At 35.6% G+C, this 25,006-nt stretch overlaps 1 protein-coding gene across 5 annotated transcripts in view; it reads left to right on the top strand.

The window, feature by feature from the left end:
* CNTN3 (contactin 3) overlaps positions 1-25,006 on the top strand; it is a 352,092-nt gene that overhangs the window by 268,114 nt on the left and 58,972 nt on the right. For 4 of the 5 annotated variants that reach the window (NM_020872.3, NM_001393376.1, XM_011533768.3 and 1 more), the window contains 2 exons: positions 9,888-10,015; positions 11,636-11,811. In NM_020872.3, coding sequence (NP_065923.1) covers positions 9,888-10,015; positions 11,636-11,811 — 304 coding nt within the window. Of the gene's footprint in view, positions 1-7,563; positions 7,635-9,887; positions 10,016-11,635; positions 11,812-25,006 lie in introns of those variants that run through there. The other variant, XM_017006509.1, reaches the window with a different exon arrangement.

Here is a 25,006-nt window from a genome sequence, read left to right as displayed (position 1 = left end):
TTCATTTTGTACTATGACCCATTTTCCACTTTGTGATCTTATTTGTGTATTTTACAATTCTGTCCTAATGCAGATTTCATTGCTCGAGTAGCATTTATGGGAAGATGAGAGTATCTGACCCTTTTTGAGTCTGAAATTCTAAAAATATATATATATAATTGAGAAGGAATATATAAAAATCTATCCTGTTTTGGAAAAGAAGAGAGATTATTTTCTAACCTTTTACATTCAAATACTAAAAAAGAGACACCTTTAACTTTAGCTTAAAGATTATTTTAAACACTTATTTTTTCTTAGCATTTATGAATTTACTTAAGAAAATAGTAGTATTTCAAAGTTTAATAAAATCTTGTTTTCTTAGTTTAGATAATTTTATAAACTTATACTTTATTGTATTTATTTCTTTGTTACTCTAGCCTACTTTTAATAACTTTATATCTTCTATTCTATTTCATTTACTTATATCGTGTCGTATTTCACAAAGAATTGGAGACAGTTTATCAAATAATACACAAAGTGAACACTGAGGAGAAAAAATATGCCAGTGTTCCAGTTGCCTAGAATGTAAGTTTCTTTAGAACAGCATAAATCCTCACCATGGAATCTTTATTGTTTATGACAGAGCAAGGTCCATGTTAATAAATATTTGTGGAATGAATGTATGAAGTTAGTTTACAAAATATATACCAACTTAGTTGAGATCCACAATTTTGGCTGAGAGCTTTGTGGTAACAAATGAACAGAGAAAAATACTGTGAATTAACAATCCACAGCATCTGTAAGATGAAATGAAACAATGTGATAAGGAGATACACAACTCCTCCTGGCCAAGAAATGTTATGTGTGTGTCCAAATCCAGTGGATGCCCACAGAGAGAACAGTGAGTAATGTACTACTTATACTCCTCATACTTAAAGTAAAATACAATCAATTTTAAAGGTTACTTCTTTTACCGCTCACAACTTAAGGGTAACTGAATATTAACACTCAAGACTCTTGAGGAATACATAGGCCACATTTCTTTTAGCTAACTTACCATGAATATTATTTCTCACCATTTCTCATTATTTCTCACGTATGTTTTTAGAAGCCTTGGAGTAGATGTTATTTCAAGGTTATGCTCAGAATCAAAAACCTGAGATACAGAGAAGGTGCTGCAGTGCAAATGAAGAGTCAGATGCTTAAACGAGTCCATTGAACTAGCACTAAAGTTTTATTACCTTATGAAAGGTGTGTTGGCCCACCAGAACCTGCGCTTGACTAGTTGGTGATAAACTCTCTGCTTGGAGGAGGGACAAGAATGTTCAGGTTGTCAGGACTGAGATGTTACTGGGAAAGCAAATTGAAGCCCTCTATATTGTATGAAGAAATGTGTGACTCAAGACCCAGCTTCTTGAGCAACATTACCATTTTGTTTCACTGCAAGATAATTTGTAAGGAACCCATCATCAAATGTACACAGTCATCATAAAAGAAAATGTCAATGAAGCACTTCTAGAAAGGCTAGCACTGAAGCAGCTAAGACAAAGGGGTTGCAAACCTACTTCTGCGTCATTGGATGAATGGAATTGCTAGCAGAGGTTCTTAACCTGAGGCCCATATATCTTAGATGATCTGATCCCCTCCTCAGTTGTATGAAAACTGTTATTGTTTGTGTGTGTGTGTGTGTGTGTGTGTATACGTATACATATGTGCACACACACATTTGTTCTACAGAGAGATTTCCCAGATTTTTCAAGTACTCAAAGAACCTTGTGTCCTAGAAAGGTTAAAAACACTGCGTAATGGCCGGGCGCGGTGTCTCAACGCCTGTAATCCCAGCACTTTGGGAGGCCGAGGCGGGCGGATCACGAGGTCAGGAAATTGCGACCATCCTAGCTAACACGGTGAAACCTCGTCTATACTAAAAATACAAAAGAAATTAGCTGGGCGTGGTGTCGGCCGCCTGTAGTCCCAGCTACTCGGGAGGCCGAGGCAGGAGAATGGCGTGAACCCGGGAGGCTGAAGCAGGAGAATGGCGTGAACTCGGGAGGCGGAGCTTGCAGTGAGCCCAGATCGCGCCACTGTACTCCAGCCTGGGGGACAGAGTGAGACTCCGTCTCAAAAAAAAAAAAAAAAAAAAAAAAAAAAAAAAAAAAAAAAAAAAAACCACTGTGTAAGGTTGTAAATGAACTACTTAAATATTGATGGATATTAATAAAAGCGGATGACTTTAGAATTGGAATAAAAGGGCAAAACTATTCTATCTTGCAAGAACTCAACAGCAGGGCAGGGTGTTAGTTGGTCCACTGTTGATCTGTGATAAAACCTTGTCCTCTCTACATAGAAGATTATTTCTGAACTCTTCATATTTGTTGAGACAACAAATATTTATTGAAAAAAACTACTATGTACAAAGCACCAACATTTCATAATCTGTATCCTTTAAGGGTTTGTGAACTCTAGCTGAGAATTAAGGATATTACAAACAATTATTAGCTAAGAAACAACCTAACTTAAGAATGTATAGGAAACTGGCTCCAGAAATCTTGGCAGCAGGCATTGTACCATGTTGTTGGAGCAAGTGCTGGGATGAGTGAAGTAATGATTATTTTGGTCTTTTTGTTGTAAATCAGAGTCTGAAGAGGGAGAGTCCAATGGACATAGCTTAGAACATTTTCTCTCAAAGCGCAGTCCCTGTATCAGCAGCACCAGTATCACCTGAGAATGTGATAAAAATGCAAATCCTTATGCCCCATCCCAGACCTAATCTGATGGTGGGCCCGGCAGTGGGCATTTTGAAGAATCCGCTAGGTAACTGGTACACAGTCAAGTTTCAAAAATACCAACTTATATGTCTAGCCCATGGCTAGGATACGACAAGACACCGTGATTCATAGCCCTACCAAGACTGCATTCAATAGGGGCAAAGAATTCCTCAAGGAAGATCAATGTTAGTTGCCAAAGAATGAGGAATCAATTCTGGACAGCCAAAAAATATTCAGCATCCTCTACATACCTTGAGGTGATGAAATTCCCCTTATGCATAAAATGCAGGTATCTTGCACTTTGACATTAGTGTGGAATGACTTCCATTCCAGGGCTTCTAGTCTCTAAGTAGAAGGACAATCACTGGAGTAACATTTGGATATTTCTCTAATGACTCCCCAGAGAAAGAGTCTGTCTCCTAAATTTCTGTAGAAGACCCTGACACTCTAGCTCAACTTTTCCCCTTCTTTCTCTTTGGTGTTTGCTGCACATAGAGAGTGGACGTATTTTGCTGTTCTCTTTACCACGCAATAATGGGGCTTGCCCTTATGGGGAGGGCCTGAGGTGGTCTGCCTGTGCCAGGAAGGCTAAGCCTGCCTAATTCTGGAGTGAAATGTCAGGAAACCATTGTCGCTCATCTAAGCAGTTTTGCATCACCTTTATCTGTAATACAACTAATAAAGCCGACATTTTTATTTTCCCTGGTTAGACTCATATAACTCTCTCTGAGGCATAGAAGAATAGTAGTGTCAAGTATGAGGGGCCTGTGAACCTTAATAATATCCCCTTTGAAGTTTTCTTTTAATATATAAGACATCAGAGAATTATTTGTCTCATTTGTCTGTTTTCCTTTGTTTGTGTTACTACTTCGTGCGTCTGAGTATTTATAATTTTTCCAAAGACTCCTTTGTATAAGAATGCAAATGTTTCAGATGAGAGTATTGCCTGGGCCTTATGAGTTACTTAGATGATAGTTGTATATAATCATTTAGACTGGAAATCCCCTTATAGGGGTCTTTTCTTCTATTGATTTGAGTCCATTTTAGTAGGAAAAACTATTCAGTCATTGTCATAAAAGTGATTTTGGCTCTAAATATATTTGTCATGTTAATATGCGTTTAGCAACATTTTATAGAAGTGAAAATGTTCCTTTATTGTTGACTTTTAACTTATGAATATGTGGACCTGTTAAATGATATGAATTCATTATCTTTCCCTAGGTTATAGAGTAGAGCCAAGGTCCATCTTCTCTAGGTGTCTGTTCCATAGAATGTGTATGTTCAACAGAATCACAGAGCTGCTTGTTATTAGCCTGGTACTTACTCAAAGTTAGGTTAATTAACTGCTGATCTCCTCCATTCTGCTTTTCCTTTCCTTGGAGATTTACTAACCAATAAATCACTATACTAACACTGCTGAATTTATAACATGAAAGCCCAAAATAGGATAGGTAGAAGAATAAAAACGCTAATACTATTTTCCTAAATACTGTTTGCAGGTTATCTTTGAACTCAAGGAGAAGCAGTTATTTCACCAATAACGTGGGGGTGAGAGCAGTTGTAAATGAGAACATATACAGTTGTAAATGAGAACATATACTCTATGGTCTTTTTCTCTCATGTTTATTTTCTCATACATTTTCATCAATGTATATTTGCTTTTCTTAACTGTCATTATTTATCCTGTAATATATGCATTGTGAGTACTTTTGTCTTACATGTAATGTAAGCATCCATCTCTTAGAATATGTACTCAGAAAGTACCATCTAAAAGAGCCTTGTTATTTTCTACACAGCAGTTTAATCATTACGATCTCATGTGATTGCAACTCCACTGAGATATGCTTCCTGAGAAAATGTAGAGTTGCAGTGTGTTTGTTAAAATTCAAGTTGAATAAATTACCGTAATGATCAGAAGAATATAGGCAGGGAAAAACAATATTTTCAGAAATCCTGCTTTGCCATCCGTAATGCTTTAGACTTTTTCCATTCTAAAACACACTGCATTATTATAGATGCTTAAATGTCATCATAAAGTACAGGTCAATGTTGTCTAGACAACAGTATACTTTATGAACAAACAAAGTTTTTTAACAGTCATAAATTTAATGCCATCACTATAATTACAACATGAGCCATTAGAGCAGCTTAGAGCAATTACATTTACTTATCCCAAACTAACCATAGACTGCACAAAGTTAAGTGAAATAATTAACCTCCTACTACAAAAGGAAGTACCAATAAAAAGGTACAAATAAAAGTATATTATAAAACTGATCAAGGAGTTAAAATGCCACAGTGATTTAAATTGCACATTTCCCTAAGCAAACTGGAGCACTGAATGTTAATTTCATAAATTGTTTTTTAACGTTTTGTGCCAAGACAGGAGTCACTCATCGTTATCTACATTTTCAGCTCTACGCATTTGCAGATAAACCTGTTCTCAGAAAGCTTAGAAAGCAAATTCGTTTATAGTGAAGTGGTATAAAATTTTCACTTTGAATCTCTGTAGGGAAGCGTGGGTTATTGAAGGTTTTCTGTTGAGAAACAATTACTCCATTCATTTACTGAATATTGTTTATTTTTATGTTGTGCAAATGCCCTGTGGGCCTCTTAGAACTTACTGGAAGAACCAATTTAGGAAGAAAATATCCAAGTAGTTCAAATTTTTACAATATACATAGAGTTTGCATTCTTTGAGAGTCAATATGTTTGCTTTGAAGTCTTTGTGTGATTCTGAAGGTGTTAGGTTTTGTCTCATTTCAACATGGGCATGATTTGCTTGACTTGAAGTTTGCTTAATTAAAGTTACTAAACCTAATACACCAAAGGATTTGTAGTTCTTCCTCTATTCCTAGCACTTCTGTATTTGTAGTGGAAACTTAGCTGTTACACTAATTCATTGCATAGAAGATACCTGAAATTACCTACCTCTGTTTTGTAGTTTCCAAATCAGAAAATATCAATTTAAGTTCAATAATGTTCAGTCAACAAGAGGCATTTTTACTTTGTTTTAAGGCTTACTAATCATAGAAGTGGTAGATCCCCAGCTTCTTGAAGCTTCCCATTCTATCTCTAACCTATAATTTAGGGCAGATTAATTTGCCTTATTATTTAAGTATCTTCCCAAACTTCTGATATAATCTGCCATCTTCTGGTCTTTGCATATTAAAATTCTCCATCACATCTGCATTTTCTTTTTAATAACAATGATAGGTAAAATTTCCGGAGCAACACTATAAATCAAGTGTCATTCTCTTTGGGTGTCATGGCCCCAAAATTTTACTGATGGGATTAGCGATCAGATGGGTTGGGAGCATGGCTCTTAATCATGCTCTCTCTTTCCTCCAAGACTTCTCTGACAGTTTCCTCTCTCACTCTTTTTTTCCATCCCATTATCTTCAGTCTCTCCCTCTCTGTTTACTTATTCTCTAACAAGTACAAGCATATTCTCAGTTCTCTTATCCTGGGAAAGGCATTTCTAAATTCTCTTTATTCAGTCTTCTATTGCCTTATCTTTTTGCTACATATATGTAAACAACATAGCTACATATGTGTACATAGTATTTCCTTGATATCCACCAGACCCCCATGGATGCTCAAGCCCTTACACAAAATAGCTTGGCTTTTGCATACAACCTATGCATATCCTCCCATATACTTTAAATAGTCTCTACTTACAATACCTACTAATATGTAAGTGCTGTGTAAACAGTTGTTATACCATATTGTTCTGTCACTTGTACTTTTTTATTGCTGTATTGTTATTATCTGTTTATTTTAAAATATATTCTATCTATGGTTGGTTGAATCTACAGAATCTGCAGATGCAGAAACCGCAGATATGGAGGGCTGGCTATCTATCTATCTATCTATCTATCTATCTATCTATCTATCTATCTATCTGTATCCAATTAGTTCACACATATATGTGTGTGTGTTTGTATTAGTCTGCACACTTTCTGAATCTATTTGCTTATTATTTATAAGGTGTCAGTGCCTTGCAACCCAGCTTCACTAGCCCCAACTCCTTTACAGTGACTCTCTAAAGGCATACCGTCATTTACTCATTCAACAAGTTTTATTTTTGAATGTCTACTCTGTACCAGACACTTTTCAAGGGTCTAAAAATTTAGTGGTGAGTGAGCTAGATATTGTCCTTTCCTCCAGAGAGCCTACAGTGTACTGGAGGAGAAAAATATTAGTCAAATAAGAACACAAATATGTAATTGGACACTCGATGGGTGCTATGAAGAAAGCACAGAGAATGTTTTGATCAAATACAGGAAAATCGAATCTAACTCATGGTTTCAGGAAAGTAAGTAAAGTCTGAAGGATGAATACAGGTCAACCAGAGAGAGGAAATAGTTTTTATAAAGGCCCTGAGACAAAAAGAAGCAAAAAAGTCATTAAAAGAAGGCTTGTGTGATTGGAGAAAAGCAAGCAAGGAAAAGAATTCATGAAGTCATATGAAGTTAGAGAGAGGCAGAGGTCCTGATGTGAGGATATGGTTCAGGCTTAGGATATAGTCTGTATCTCCCAGGCAATGTGACACCAAAGAGGAGGTTCTAAGCAAGGTTTGCCTGGACAGCTGGAGGGAGGAGGGCAGGATCACGTGATCAGATTGACATGTCTAAGTTTTTTCTCCATGTTCCTTAAAACTTCCAGTCTCCATATCCTAAATTTTTATTTATTTTTACTTCTCTGCAGGGTTTCTTCTTTAAGTTATTATTACATGCTCATTAGGAAAATCTTTGTTGTCAGATAGGCTAAGGTATAAAGAGATTTTTTTAAGTTATTTGATTATCTTTTCCAGTAAAGTTATGGGAGGCATTTCACACTCAACAAAATGCATTACAACCTTCAGGGTCCCACGAGAAGAATCAGGTATGTCCCTTTTTGTTTTGTTTTGTTTTTAATTCCTAGGAAAGTTCTTGGAATTTTTGACCTTTCTCTGTAGTTCCTCAAGTTGGCATGCAGTGCCATGGTTCCCTGATGAGCTTTCTAGGTCATTGCTCTCAAACCTTTTTATTTTAAATATACCTTAACACAGTTTTAAAAAAATCATATGCATAACAAACCGTAATAGATAGCTGTACCCAGGATCATGAACCTGTGTGCTAGCTCTAATTCCACCATGATTTTCTCACTGAAGGAAGTGTAACCAGGATGCAAATGAAAGTGAGTAATGGACTATAAAGTAATACATATATAAAGTGATGGGTGGCAGTCTCCTATAGTCTACTGGAGGAGAAAAATATGGAGAGAGATATATACACACATATGTGTATACACACACACACGCACGTGTGTACACATACGCACATATGTGTATACACATATGTGCACGTGTGTATATATGTGTATATACACATATATGTATACACATATGTATATATATACACACATACACATATGCATATATAAATAAAACAAAATCTATCTTATACATTTTTATACAGAAACCCTTGTAGTAACATTTTTGAAACACACCTAAAAATTTTGCAATAAACATTTTTACAGATTGAGATCCTTCATTCTAGTCTAATGTCCTCAGTATTTTTCCTATTTATTCTACTGAATGGCCCAGAATTTGGAGGCATTTAGTTACCATAGTTGGCATATATGACGCCATGCTGATACTGGGGTTGCAAATATTTTTAAGAAGTTTACCATCCATTTTCACTCACTCATGTGTCAAAAATAGGAGCCATAAAAGATAAAGACACTCAAGTGTTAAATGCATTATGTGGATAGTAATTATTTTAGGAATTCAAAGAAAGAGAACATAATTATGAGTAGACAAATTAGAGCAATAAAGATACAGTGATCAGATTAATGACAGGTTAATCCCATCTCATTTTTTTTTCGTAATTCAAATGACACCACTTCTAAGAGGCTTTTCTGATGCACCCTATCCTAGAAACCCTTCCTCCTAAAGTAATTACTCTCTATTGTATCACCCTGTCTATCTCCTTCTGAGTACTTCTCAAAAATCAGAACTTCTTACTTTTACTTATTTATTTGTTGTTGATATGGTTTGGCTGTGTCCCCACCCAAATCTCATCTTAAATTGTAGCTTCCATAATTCCCACATGTTGTGGGAGGGACCTGGTGGGACATGATTTAATCACGGGGGCGGTTTCCCCATACTGTTCTTGTGGTAGTGAATAAGTCTCATGAGAATTGATGGTTTTATAAGGGGAACCCCTTTCACTTGGTTCTCGTTTCCTCTTTGCCTGCCACCATGTAAGACATGCATTTCACCTTTTACCATGATTGTGAGGCCTCCCCAGCCACGTGGAACTGCAAGTCTGTTAAATCTCCTTTTTCTTATAAATTACCCAGTCTTGGGTATATCTTTAGCAGCAGCATGAAAACAGAGTACTACGTTGTCTATGCTACTCACTGGAATATTATTCCATGAAGGTGGAGACTTTTTGTGTTGCTCACCCCATAATTCCAGGTTCTCTTATAGTGCTAAGTGTATGTAAAGCACTCAGTTATATTTCCTTAATTAATTAGTCAGATGCCAAAGCTTTGAGTACTCTAAGTGTATACTAAGAAACTCTAAGGTAAGGTTTATTGGATTTGCCTAGGCTCTTTTCATGAGCTCACAGGGGACCACCCAAATGTTCTTTTGGAAAATTACAGTTTTTATTGGGGCGATGTGACTCTCTTAGTTCATAGTAAAAGACATGCAGCTTCTCGTTTCTCATATACTGTTTCAAATTTAAGAGACATAGTGTTCTGCCTACTTTGCATTTCTTTAAAATTGATTAGGCTAACTCCATGAATAATCTACCACAACATATATTAATATTTTTGGAAAACATTTGACACTTATTTGATAAGTGCATCCTCTCAACTTTGGTGTAATAAGTAATGCTGAGTAAAAATACTGAACAAAGTTCAAATTGGTGGAGCATCTTTTGTCATCCAATGCTGTGCGTGTGTTTATGTATGTGAGTGAGGGGTGAATTTTCTTTTTTTTTTTTTGTATTCCCAAAAAGCTAAGGACTGGTTGATCATGCCTTAAAAATACTAGCTTAAGGCAACATGTTCTGTAAAAATATGTATATTCATTTGGAAAAAAAATGGCTATTATATATTTATTTATCTTATTTGTCTTTGCTTTAGAATTTCTTTGTTAAACGATGGAGGACTCAAAATAGCCAATGTGACTAAAGCTGATGCTGGAACTTACACCTGCATGGCAGAAAACCAGTTTGGGAAAGCAAATGGCACAACACATTTGGTTGTTACGGGTAGGTCCATTTCTAAAATATTGCTTTACATACGGATTCACTGTAAGATGTATTATTATGAGGAAAGTAACTATGTGTTTCACAATGTTCAGTACACTATGAAGGTAGAACCTGTATTTGCACTTATGTTATTTTTAACAGGTGAAAGTCAAGGGAACAATATTTCCTTAGCACAGCACAGTGTGCACCAGGGAGCACATTAGTTACTGTGCTGGGTTGATAGGCAATAAGAGTTACAAATAGCATATGTTGATGATCTCATTCTATTTTTTTTTAAATAAAATTCTATTATGTCAGGTCTTTAGGATACACTTTGTTTTTTTCATTATAGTTGATTTTTTCTGGAGATGTTCAAGTCCAGGAAATAACAGGATATAAATAAGAATTGCTTAAAGTTGTGGATATATTTTATTCATTTATCCATTCATGAAAAAATTGGAGCACCTACTCTGTGCCAGTTGCTTGGGCTGTATCCTTGAGCACATTGTCACTAATACTGTCCTCATGAATCTTACCTTCTATAAAAGGAGAAAGAAAATAACAGTAGGAATAAGAAAGAAGAAAATTATTAGAAGGCAAAAATTGTAAACAAGAAAGAGGTGCATAGTGGCAGAGGTAAGTTAGAGCATTAGCAACAGGATGATCAGAATAAACCTCACTGAGAAGGAGAGATTTGGAAAAAGATTTCATGGACATGAAGGTGTCAGTTAACAGATTTCTTAGTGATAATTATGCAAGCAGTTTGTAGACCTCCTGAGGAATTATTTCAGTTGGATTGAAAAGTGGAGTGGCTGCAAGGTTTTGAGCAGAGAAGTGCATGATGTTAAATACCTTTTGATATATCAGCAGGATGGTTATGAGGACCTTGGTGAGGACGGGGGTTGGGAGGACCAAAATCTGGCTAGACTGAGTTAAAGAGGGAATTGACTAGCATAATTGTAGACAACATGCATAAATGACTCTTTTGAAGACTTTGGTCCAACGTAGTGCAAAGTAATGTGGAGTAGCAGTGGGAAAATGGGGTCAAGAGAATTTTAATTCATGATAGACAAATGGAAGGAGGTGGTGATGACAGGGAGAAAGAAATGTGCATGTGGACATTTGCGTTGGGGAAAAACAGACATTAATTAGCATTTTAACATAGTACCCCTCCTTTTTGTACCTATTCTAGCATCTTTTGTATTATATCTTTCAAATCCAGGCTACCATTAAATGTCTGTTTAGATTTTGATGGTGATGTAATTTCTAGTCAAAGTTGGTGAAAACACAGTATTTTCTATTTCTACCCCTACATTTCAAAAAACAATAAAACTAAGTTGAAATTGATTTTGTTAATAATAATATAACTGTTGTTTACACGACTTTAATTTTTAAACTTACATGTCCTACAAGTTCAAATATCCTAATTTCTTTAACAAGAATTTGTGGATCCAGTGAAATGTAGCTCTGCATCAAAATGCCTCTTTTAATGTTGAATACTTTTAATTATATAGATGTATGTATATTTATGTATATGCATCTACAGACATACACAGTATAAGTTAGATGAACAGTCTGCCTGTGCAAATGTCTTTTATCACAATAAAATGCTGTTTTTCTGAAAAATTATTTCCCCAATAGAACCAACAAGAATAACTTTGGCACCATCTAACATGGATGTTTCTGTTGGTGAAAGCGTCATATTGCCCTGCCAGGTACAACATGACCCGCTGTTAGACATCATCTTTACCTGGTATTTCAATGGGGCCCTTGCAGATTTTAAGAAAGATGGATCTCACTTTGAGAAAGTTGGTGGGGTAAGTTGTGGCACTTTCCTCATACTTTTTATATTGCATGTGTCTCTGGCACATTGCTTCTGAAAACTGTCTGACATATAGACAATGCTCTAGAAATGTTTTCTAAATAAGTGGTTTTGGTTGAGTGGTTCTCAGTTCTGTTTTGATCTAATTTTATTTTTGTAATTACCAGAAATTGAACACATTTACTTCAATGTATAATTACAATTACAATTGATGGATGTTGTATTTATAGTAAATGTTACTTTTCATTACTTTGTTTTGTTAATGTCTTATGGAAACGAAGATTTTCTTTTACGGGTGTTTGTTTTCAACATGACACATATGTGATGAACTGGGAGAAAGCTGCACTTACTAAGTGTCTCCTCCAGGTGCTTGATCCCAATTAATGTGTCAGGCCAGGGTACATCATCACTGTTAATCCTCACAATTGCACCAGACATTAGCAGTAAGACGCTTCATTGTACAGGTGCACAAACTGAGGACTGGAAGTCTATCAACTTGCCCAGAGTCACTCAGCTAGTTAGTGGTGGAACTTCAAGTCCAGATCGGTGTGTTTCCACAACACAAATGCTTTCTAATGTTTCCATTCTGTCTCTTCTTTTGTGATGATTCCACATTAGAAAGATTTACAGATTTTAAGGAAAAATTGTCACTTTGAGGGGAATGGTCAAGAAGTGGCTTAATGCTGGTGAGCCACCCAGGCTAATGGTAAGCCTCACAGCATGTTTATGAATCTGGAATTGCAAAGCTAGCTTCCCTTGTAGGACTGTTTGCACTGACTCAAGGACAGCTTCATTCTTTTGGTAAAGAGGTCCATGGTGGACAGTCAAGTCTGGTTTTGTCAATTATGGACTTCACATACAGGCCTCAGTAAAGTAGAAAGCCATATGATGGTCAACTCAACTGTGTTCATTTGACAAAGACTTCTTATTAAATGTATGTATTTGTATACATCGGCATGTTAACATATTAAAATCATATGCAACTTAAAGGATGGCGTTTTGAGTTGAATTGTGTCCTCCCAAAAATATATTCTTAATGTCCAATACCTCAGAATGTGACCTTATTTGGAAATTGCCTTATCGTGGAAGCCATTAGTTAAATTAAGATGAGGTCATCCTGGATTAAAATGGGCCCTTATTCAGTATAACTGTTGTCCTTATAAAAAGAAGGCCATTTGGACATAGACACACAAAGAGGAGAATGCCATGTGAAGCACAGACACAGAGGAGAGATGGACCAATTAGGATGAAGGCCCAGAACAGAGGTGTGCTGCCACAAGCCAAGGAATGCCTGGAGCCACCAGAAGCTGGAAGAGGCAAGGAAGAATTTCCCCTTAGAGATTTTGCAGGGAGCCTGGCTCTGCCAGCACCTTGATTTCAGACTTCCAGCCATCAGAACTGTGAGAGGATACATTTCTGTTAAGCCACCAAGTTTTTGGTACTGCCTTACGGCAACCTTAGGAAGCTAGTACAGAAAAAAGAAAGTTTTTAAAAGGAAAAGAGAAATTGAGACGTTTAGATACCTAACTACAATTAAGTGTAATTTTAGGACCCTTTCTATTTTCTGTCATTTATTCCGTTTTGGAATTACTGCTTTTCTAATTGTTCTGACTGATTCACAGCCTTTGAGAACTTCACCAATTGCTAAAATCTTTTAGCTTTACTTTTACTATTGTTGTAAATGTCTATTTATTTTTAAATTGTCACTGCTTTTTTCTGTCATGATAGGAAAAGGCATAGGCCATATTCTGAGCTAGCTCTCTACTCCATACTCAGGCTGTCTTACAAGTTAACAATTTCTTCTTCCTTGGGCCTCAAGAAGAAGCCTAAAATGTTACTTTCATAAAGACCCTTTACCCAATCTGGGAAAGGCTTCTCTAATCCAGCTCTTCTACTACTTTTAATTATTGAAGAATTCCATTTGAAACATTAGTCACCTTTGCCATTATAATGAAGATAATTATGTTTGTGATTGATTTCTCAGCTGGATTGTGAGCTGTTGATAATAGTTTATCCAATACGGTTCCTCTGTCTTAGCTACTGCTAAATAAATGTGTAATGAAAGACTGAAAAATCCAAAGTAGTTTGACTGTAATATGCATCAAACAGTTACAAAGAAACACTAAGACTGAGCCAGATTGCAGCTATCTTTCAGAAAAGCTTGGAGTTAAAAACATTCGAGTTTATAATGTAATTTAACTATCTTGATTTACATAGCACTGATAGGTTCTAAAGAAGGCATTAAGTCATCTCTGTACAAGTCAGGTGTCTGCAACATGAAATTTCATAAATTAATGCTACCGCTTGCCAATTCTGTTCTTTCTCTACCATGCTAGTTCATGGCCTAAGAATTTTTTGTGCCATTAGTAACTTAATATTCTCCCATCAGTATAAAACAGTAAGCCATACAAGATGACATTACCCTTAAGCACAGGCAATTAAGTAAATCAGTTTTCTGTTGCATGAGAAGGGAATCATGTAACAAGTCTTGTCCTCTGATTGTGTATTCATTGCAGCATGCACATTAATACAAAGATAGTCTGCTTGCCTTTTTCCCCAGTGGGTTCATAGATATATCCCGTTTCCAAAAGCAGCAAAATGTGAACAAGGAGGCTGATAAGTGGGAAAGTTGCCTAGAAAGGTGGATAGTAAGAACTATGTTTTAAAAATAGGTTAGGGGTAGTTCAGGTTATAGAAAATACAACTCATAGCTTTGAACTGAATCAGCCAATTATTGGAACTATGCTAAGTAGTCAACAGCCATTCATTTGTTTTAAAAAACACAGGCCTTTTGGAAAAAATCCATAAGCTCAGAAAGCTCCAATAATTTAAACCAGATCTACTGTATAGATTTGAAATTGTGCCAAAGGAGCATGATGACACCAGTCACAGATTTTTGCACAATTGGAATAATACATTCAGAAAAGCTTTATGAAACTAAGTGTCTAAAACAAATTGGCACATCACAAAGGAGGAGTAGGTTTCAGTCCATGATCATGGGGCGAATCAAAAAGTCGTATCATTAAATCAGCAGGAAAAGACTTCCACATAAGTTCCTGTTTGCCAAGAAAAGTTCAATCATAGGCACGATGTGGTTCAGTTTCGGAAGAGGTGGATTTGTATTCAGATACACAAGAGTTCTGGGTGCTGTTGTTTGCTGGTTGATGCCCATGGGTGAGTGAGTCACGTAATTTTTTGGTCTTATTTTCGGATCTCTTTTCACATCAGTTTTTAGTACAGTCACATGTTGCTTAACGATGGGGATACATTCTGAGAAATGTGTTACTAGGCAATTCCGTCCTTATGTGGACATCGTAGGGTGCACTTACACAAACCTAATGATACAGCCTACTACACACCCAGGCTGTGTGGTATAGCCTATTCCTCCTGCCCTGCAAACTTGCACAACATGCCACTGCCCTGAATGCTGTGGGCAGTTTAACAGAATGGCAAGTATTTGTGTGTCTAAACATTGAAATGGTACAGTAAAAATACGGCATAAAGGATTTTCAAAAAGGTGCACCTGTATAGGGCACTTACTGTGAATGGAGTTTGCAGGACTGGAACTTGCTCTGGGTGTCAGTGAGTGAGTGGTGAGTGAAGGTGAAGGCTAGGACATTGCTGTACACTACTGAAAACATTAGAAACACTGTACACTTAGGATACACTCAATTTATAAGAAGTATTTTCTTTCTTCAATAATAAATTAACCGTAGCTTACCATAACTTTTTTACTTTATAAACTTTTAACCTTTTTAGACTTTTTGACTGTTTTGTCATTAACACCCAGCTTAAAACACACATTGTACAGCTATACAAAAATATTTTATTTATATCCTTAGTCAATAAGGATAAGCTTTTTTTCTGTTTTTAATTTTTTTTTTCATTTTGAACATTTTTGTCAAAAATGAATACACAAAGGCACAGGTTACCCTAGGCCTACGCAGGGTCAGGATCGTCAATATCACTGTCTTGTGCCTCCACAGCATGTCTCACTGGGAGGTCTGCAGGGGCAATAACATGCATGGTGCTGTCATCTCATAGGACAGCAATGCCTTCTTCTGGAATTCCTCCTGAAGGACCTATATGAGACTCTTTTATAGTTAACTTTTTTAATTTGTAGAAGAAGTACACTATAAAATGACAATATAAAGTATGGTATAGTAAATGGTATAAACTATTAACATGGTCATTTATCATGATTATCAAGTATTATGTACTGTACATAATTGTATGTGCTAGACTATTATATGACAGGCAGCACAGTAGGTTTGTTTACCTCAGCATCATCACAAATGCATCAGTAAGGCATTGTGCTGTAATATTATGATGGCTACAGTGTCACTAGTCAATAGAAACTTTTTTTTTTTTTTTGAGACAGGGTCTCACTGTGTCACTCAGGCTGGAGTGCAGTGGCACGATCTTGACTCACTGCAACCTCTGCCTCCCAGGTTCAAATGATCCTCAAGGCTCAGCCTCCCTACTAGCTGGGACTACCGGCATGCACCACCGTGTCCGGCTAATTTTTGTATTTTTAGTAGGGATGGGGTTTCACCATGCTGGCCAGGCTGGTCTTGAACTCCTGACCTCAGGTGATCTGCCCGTCTTGGCCTCCCAAAGTGCTGGGATTACAGGCATGAGGCACTAGGCCCAGGCAGCTCCATTATAATCTTATGGGACCACTGTCATATATGTGGTCCATCCTTGACCAAAAAGTCCTTATGTGGTGACACGTAACTGTATTTATCCCATTCTCTCCTGCCATGAGATCTCTTCCTGGAACACAGTTTTCTCTCTTTTTTTGCCTGTATCTAGATATCTTCATATATGATGGTGTGAATGTAAATAAGAATGTGTACACTATTTCACATATGCAGAATCACAAGAAGAGATACAGGCCTAGCTATATGTTTATGGTAGTGTTCTATTATACCTATATTTAAGCAATGAATTTTACTCCATTATTTACCCCTGTAGAACATCTTTGTTTCCTTACTTTTAAATAGAGCTTAGCATCCATCGATAGGAAAAGGGAGGTAATATTCCAAAGTTCAAGAGAAACCAAAGAACACTGTTGACTGGTATGTGAAGACCTAGGGCCTGGTAATTTAAGTATGATTTTACAAATGTTGAGGGATAATTTTGACTTGCTCAGTAAGCTAACTTTTGGACTTACATGCATTATATGCCAGAGGCTCCCTACAGAGAGAAACTTTTGGACGTAAACACACTAGTTCACCCTGTATTGTAAGGATGTTTAAATATATATGCTTTGATAAACCCTATGTGGTGCAGTTACTTTAGAAATAAAGAATGTCTAGAGCCAAGGTGTACAGCTTTCCCAACACTTTGTGGAATTGGATCTATGATAAATTAGAATGTTTGTGGATAAAAGTCACTGGAAGTAATAAAAACTTGAGCAGTGACAACCAATCTGCCATTCATTTAAATGGCTCACTTCAATATGATTTATTTCCCACAAGCCACAATTTCACTCTAGTTACAGCAGCTACACATGAGCTTGAGATTTGATGTATTTTTCAGCTCTCAGTGGTAGAAAAGAATATCTTTGAAATTGATCCTTTGTGTGATAATACAAGTGGCCACTTTGACTTGATTTATTTCATAGAATTATTTGTGTGTGAAGACTAAAATTTTGAAAACAGCAGCTCTTTATAACTATGTAAACAATTTTATGTAAAGGAAAGCACTCATTCCCCAAACAACTTCTGGGGGTATTCTGAGTTTTTAAGCATATCCCCGTTGGACTATATTATACATTTTGTATCTTGTCCAAATTCAAAGCATCAGCTGACTTGAAATAACTATTAAGAGAATGTACCCAGAAACAAATTCACAAAAGTGGGGAACAGACCAGAGGAATTATTATTTATCTTGAACCCACGTCGTTGAAGCATGACTCTTCCCATAATGTTATTTGCTGGTAAAGAAACAAGAATTCCCCAATTCCAGCTGGAAAAGGGGGTAATACACAAAACTGTTGATGTGTAGTTATTTGCCTGACTCATCATTTATTCAACCAGGCAAATAAAGGCTCAGTTCCTGCTTAAAGTGTGATTGATGTCCAAGGGCTGTATTTATCAAGTACAATATTTATGAAGATGAATAGTCCAAAGCCATCCCCAGTGGAAATCCTGTAAGGTAGACTTAAATTTACAAGAATAAGTCAAAACAAGCAACATGTGACTTCTTGTACTAAAGCCCATAAAAACAGCAGAGTTAAAACAAACCAAGGCTATAAATGAAATGACATAAAGGAAAATATATGCAAATATTTATTATGTAAATACAACAGAAGGAGAGTGCAACAAATGTTAATTTCCATCAAAGAATAATTCATGGCAAACCTTAAAAGCAAAAAGGATAAATTTTTTTTGGAAAAATTTCCTTTTGTCATGAAAATAAAATAATACCTCAAATAATGTATGATTAAAACTTATCAGGTCAAGAACAAAGAACTAGTAAGAAATAAGACTGTGTAGACTTTGAGAGCCCTTCTTTCAACTATCAGTAGATCAATTTGCTAAATATTAGACAGATTATTTTGATACTGTAATTAATTGAAGTAACAGAAATATATGAAAAAAATAATCCTACAGATAAAAAATACACACTCCTTTTTATTCTTTCTATATCTTTGCAAAATTTGGTTAATAAAAATAACAAAACATATGTACATGAAGGAGAAAGAACAAATAAAATTCATATAATATCAAAAAGCAATTGATAATCTACAGAATATACCAATGAAGAATAAAGAGAAAAGAAAAACTAAAATTAGACATTAGAAAAAGAATATAAGAGATAAAAAAGAAATGTAAAAACACAAAAGATTCCATATTCAGGTCATATGTATGAAATTCTAGTTAAATGGACCATTTCTGCAGAAATATAAATTATCAAAATTTAAATTTAATTAATTTAAAATAAAAATGAAATTAAAATTGTCTACTTAGGTAGATTCATTATTATGAAAACTTGCAAATCAATTTTCCACCTCCACCAATAATAAGGATTTTAGGGCTAGATAATTTTACTGGTAATTTTTGTTTCTCAAATTTTAAGGAAATAGATAAATATTTTGTGTTATGTAAACTATTTGACAACATTAAAAGTGTGAAATATTTTTAACTTATTTTGTTAGTCTAGCATAGTCCTATGAACAAAACCTACCAAGATAGTAAATACTTAGTAAATACAAACTGATCACATGAATACAGTAAGAAAACTTAAGGGAAATTTTAGCAAACCAGATTGAACATTATATTCAAAGATTAACCCTTCCAGGCATGGTGGCTCATGCCTGTAATACGAGCACTTTGAGAGGCCAAGACAGGTGGATCACTGAGGTCAGGAGTTCGAGACCAGCCTGACCAACATGGTGAAACCCTGTCTCTACTAAAAATACAAAAATTAGCCAGGCGTGGTGGCACATGCCTGTAATCACAGCTACTCGAGAGGCTGAGCCAGGACAATGGCTTGAACTCAGGAGGGAGAGGTTGCAGTGAGCTGAGATTGCGCCATTGCACTCCAGCCTGGGCAACCAGAGAAATTCTGTCTCAAACAAACAAACAAACAAAAAAAAAAAAAAAAAAAAAAAAAGGATTAACCCTTCATAAGCTACTTTAGGATATCCCAGGAAATGTACATACATCATATCAATAGACCTAATAAAACAAACCACAATATTCTCGATTGATACTAAGATGACATTCAATAAAAATAATGACCAATTACTGACTTTTAAATTCATACTAAAATAGGAACACAAAGATACTTCTTCCACATCCCAAAAGTGTCTTTAAAGGAAAAATACCAGAAATATTGTTATTTAAATCATCAACAAGGTGAGGCTACACACAAATATCATTTGGACATATTTGGGTCAATGCAATAAAGTATGAAACAAATAAAAGGTGACTATGAAAATAAGGAAACAAACATTATTTGAGGACAAAATTATATTAGGGCTACTCAAAACCCAATAGTATCAACTCTAAAATTTTTTATATTAGGGCTACTCAAAACCCAATAGTATCAACTCTAAATTTTTTTTTAATTAATGACTTCAGTCAACTGCTTGGATGCCAGGTAAATTGCAAAAAATAATAGCTTCCTTACAGCTAGATAGGAGGATATTCATAGCTTTCTTACAACTAGTTGTCTATAGCACTGTAAGGTGACTATAATAATAATTTGTTGTATGTTTTCAAATAGCTAGAATACAGGATTCTGAATGTTCCCAACACAAATAAATGCTTTGAGGTGACAGATGCGCTAATTATTCTATTTTGATTATTATATATCTCATACATATATCTAAATATTACACTGTAATGCATAAATATGTACAATTAATATGTGTCTACTTAAAATATGTATTAACATTTTTAAGTAATAGTTTTCCTTTGTATCAACAATAACCAATGAGAAAATATAACAGGACAAAACCTCCCTGAAAAGATAGATAAATTCATGTTAATAATTTGTACAAGAAGTGTGTGAGGCCTACATAAAAGCACCTACAATACTCTCTAAATTTGGCCAGAGATAGAAAGAGAGATATAATGACAGACAGAGAGGGGGAAAGAAACATGAAATAGTCAATATTTCTAGATGAAATAAAGCAGGCACACATTACAAGATTTTAATTTTTCCCAGGTTTCTCCAAAACTTTAAAATACTACCAATCAGATCTCAGTTTAAACAATTCTGAGAGTGCTTAGAGTAAGAAATCAAGTAGGGATAAGAATAGTTAATAGCACTTTGAAAGACAAGTAATGATGCCTCGTCATTAATTTCCAGAGAATATTCTGGGGGTATTAGCTCAGATAGGAAATTAGTAGATCAGATTGGTGTGACACACATATAGTTTCATCATTCCAAAATCTGAAACAGAATGTCAGCGTTTGAAACCTATGCCTTTCTCTTATATACTGTTGATCTTTATCTCTGTCTCAGTTACATCATCTGCAAAATTGAGATGTTGATAATACTTTACTTAGAGGTATTTGTAAAGTGCCAAGGACAACAGAAGTTAGCTCTTTTGGGTCATTACTACTGCCAGCAGTAGTGGTAGTATTATTTCTAAATTGTTCCCCAGGAAAGCTGCAGCTATTTATATTCCTATCAGTACTAGTAAAGGGGTCCTGCTTCCCCATATTCTTTTCTGCACGAGTTTTTCCTTCATTTTTTTAAAATTTTTGCCAACAGATGGCTGAGAAGCCATATCTCATTACCCCCAACCTCTCATTTCTCAGATTAATGAGATTGAAAATCTCTCCATTTGCTTATTAGGAATTTGGATACTGAGGAAAGATTGGGAATTATAACTGACTCTTCCAAATCAAGAAAATTGGGAGTTGATACTATCTCTTGTGAAATACAAGTTTACTTCTGCAGAGAAGAGCAAGAAAAAACTACCTTTTATTTCTAGCTAGAGAAATTCACAACAAAACCTAGTTGCCTGGATTATTGTATAGGATATTAATTTAAAAGAAAATCTAGCATAGAGTAACATTCAAAAGTTATAAAACAAAATGCAAACTGCTTCAAGACAACTCTCAGCTACATAAGATTTTTTTTTTTTGCCAAAGACAAAGTAATGAAATTTACATGTGCATATCAGATTTTGCTTTTATTTTTAATAGACATGCAACAATTGTACATATTTATGGGGTACAAACTGATATTTCAATACATGTATTAATGTGCATGTATCAGATTGTTACCTCCTTCATGTGTCCTTTGAAGAGAATTCTTTGGAGCACAGCAGGAAATCTTTCACTTACACACAAATTCCCGATATATATACTAGTTTTCTCTCACAGTACAGGCTCCACCTTTCACAGAGGACAAATTTTATGTCACTTTTCTGTTAACTTTGTCTATTACATCTTTCAGAATTTTTTTTTTCATTTTTGAGTAATCAAACAAGTCTACCTTCTTCTTTGGCTAAGAATTTTCATTAGTTTTCTTGGATTGAGTGGGATATAAAGCTAGGAGAATTTGAGGAGAGACAGGCAGATTTTAGAACCAATGTTCGTAAAGGTTACAGAAGACTATTTTGGGATGTTAGAGAAGTTATGACTCTGGGAGAAAAACTTTGAAAGAAATACAGATATTTAAAGAAAACTTCTGGCAGATTTTGCTGTGAACTTCATCTTGTTTCACCACAAGCCTTCAATAAAATTACATCACTTGACAATTCTTAGAAGAGTTGCCTTTGGCCGAGCGTGGTGGCTCAGCCTGTAATTCCAGCACTTTGGGAGGCTGAGGCCAACCAGCCTGGCCATCATGGCAAAACTCCGTCTCTACCAAAAATTAAAAATTACCTGGGCGAGGTGGCACACACCTGTATTCCCAGCTACTCGGGAGGCTGAGACAGGAGAATCGCTTGAACCCGGGAGGCAGAGGTTGCAGTGAGCGGAGATTGAACCACTGCATTCCAGACTGCAAGACAGAGCAAAACTCTGTCTCAAAAAAAAAAAAAGAAGAAGAAGAGTTAGTTTGAGAGGGTGTGGGTTATCTGTGTTATTAATATCTTAGGACATACTGGAGTTCCACTATTGGAATTCATATTGAAAAATATAAGATACCACCAAAGAATTACACTGTATATGTTTATGTACATGTGAGTATATTTGTGTATATACCAGCATACAAAAATCCAAATACAGTAATATATGGTTTTTTTTAAATCTCTGAAAGTTCTAAGAGAGTCAGTAGTAATTCATTTGATATTGTTTATAATTCCTTCAGTTCCTCCAAATTTTAAATATCTTAACAGATATTTACCTACAGCTGTGACTTGAAAATTTAAAAAAAATCTCATCTCTGGGAGGCTGACGCTGATGTTGACTGGTGGAAAGAGCTGCAGTTTATAATTTTGGCTTATTTTGTTTGACAAAGGCTGACAGGATTAAGGTTCATGAGTACATCTTGCAAAAGGAGCCTGAAGTCAAAAAAAGGGGAAATGCAATAAATTCCATAAATAAACAAATAAATCATATCAAATGAGGAGAAAAATGGTATCTGCTGATGATAGCTTTACCTTTACTCATGCTGGCTTAGGTAGTTTTTTAATGGCTTTATTGAGATGTGATTCCCATACCATGCAATGTATCCACTTAAAGTATAAGATGCAGTGGCTTCTAACATATTCACAGAGCTGTACTTTCATTGCAATAGTTAGTTTTAGAGTATCTTTGTTATCTCAAAAAGAAAGCTCATATCCCTTAACCAGAACTTTCGAAATCCCCAACCTTCACCCTCAGGCAGAGGCAACCACCGATCTACTTTCTCTATATACCTATTTGCATATTCTGGACATTTCATATAAATGGAAACATAATATGTGGTCATTTGAGATGGACCCCTTTTAAAAAATAAACTTTATTTATTACACAGTTGCTAAGGTTCATAGTAAAATTGAACTGAAAGTACAGAAAGTACCCATGTGCCCCCATCCTCCCACACACACACCCTCCTCAACTATCAGCATCCCATACCAGAGTGGCACATTTTTTATAATCTATGAACCTACATTGACACATCATTATTACCCCAAGTTAATAGTTTACATTGGAGTTCATTCTTCATCTTGTGCATTCTATTGGTGCAAGTGTATAATGGCATGTATCCACTGTTGTAGTATCTCGCAGAATAGCTTCACCGCCCTAAAAATCCTCTGTACCCTGCCTGTTCATTTCTTCCAGCCCTCCTAACTTCTGGCAACCACTAATCTTTTTATTGTCTCAATAGTTTTGCCTTTTCCAGAATGTCATATTGTTGGACTCATATAGTATATAGCCTTTTCAAATGGGCCTCTTTCACTTAGTAATATACTTTTAAGTTCCTCCATGTCTTTTCATGGCTTGATATCTCAGCTCATTTTAGTGCTGAATAATATCCCAGTATCTGGATGTATCACCGTTTATTTATCCACTCATCTACTAAAGGATATATTGGTTGCTTCCATGTTTTGGCAATTATGAATAAAGCTGCTATATACATCTGTGTGCAGTTTTTTATTGGACATAAGTTTTCAGTTCATTTTGGTAAGTACCAAAGAGCATGATTGCTGGATCTTATGGTAGGAGTATGTTTAATTTTGTAAGAAACTGCTGGACTGTCTTGCAGAATGGCTATAACATTTTGCATCCCCACCAGTGATAAATGAGAGTTCCTGCTACTCTACATCCTCGCCAGAATTTTATGTTGTCAGTGTCTGGATTTTGGCCAATCTAATAGATATGTAGTGGTATCTCGTTTTAATTTGCAATTCCCTAGTGAAATATGATGTTGAACATATTTTTGTATTCTTACTTGCCATCTGCATATAGTCTTTGATGAAGTGTTGGTTCAGGTCTTTTGCCCACTTTTTCATCAGGGTGTTCATTTTTGTATTGGGAAGTTTTAAGAGATTTTTCTATATTTTGTCTAACAGCCCTTTGTCAGATTTGTCTTTTGCAAATATGTTCTCCAAGTCTATGGCTCATCTTCTCATTCTGTTAACATCTTTTTTTTTTTTTTTTTTTGAGTCACCCAGGCTGGAGTGCAATGTCACAATCTCAGCTAACTGCACCTGCTGCCTCCTGGGTTCAAGCAATTCTCCTGCCTCAGCTCCCCAAGTAGCTGGGACTACAACTGTGTACCACCACACCTGGCTAATTTTTGTATTTTTAGTGGAGACGGGGTTTCACCATGTTGGCCAGTCTGATTTCGAACTTCTGACCTCAGGTGATCTGCCCACCTCGGATTCACCATTGAACCCATCTGGACCTGGTGCTTTCTGTTTGGGAAAATTATTAATCATTGATTCAATGTATCTATTATATGTAAGACTATTTGTGTTATCTACTTATTTTTGTATAACTTTTGGCAGATTATATCTTTCAAGGAATTGATCCATTTCATCTAGGTTCTCAAATTTGTAGACATAGCATTGTTCATAATTTTTTTATTATCTTTTAATATACATAGGGTCTGTAATGATGTTTCCTTTTTAATTTCTGATACTAGTTATTTGTGTCTTCTCTTTTTTTCTTAAGTAGCCTAGCTAGAGATGATTGATTTTATTGCTCTTTTCAAAGAATCAGCTTTTGCTGATTTCCTTTGTTGACTTGCAGTTTTCAAGTTTATTCATTTTCACTGTTGATTTTTTTTAT

This window comes from Homo sapiens, chromosome 3 (genome assembly GCF_000001405.40).
Source record: "Homo sapiens chromosome 3, GRCh38.p14 Primary Assembly".
Classification (NCBI taxonomy): domain Eukaryota; kingdom Metazoa; phylum Chordata; class Mammalia; order Primates; family Hominidae; genus Homo; species Homo sapiens.
Note: the sequence above shows the minus strand (reverse complement) of the source record. Positions and strands in the feature narration are given on the sequence as shown.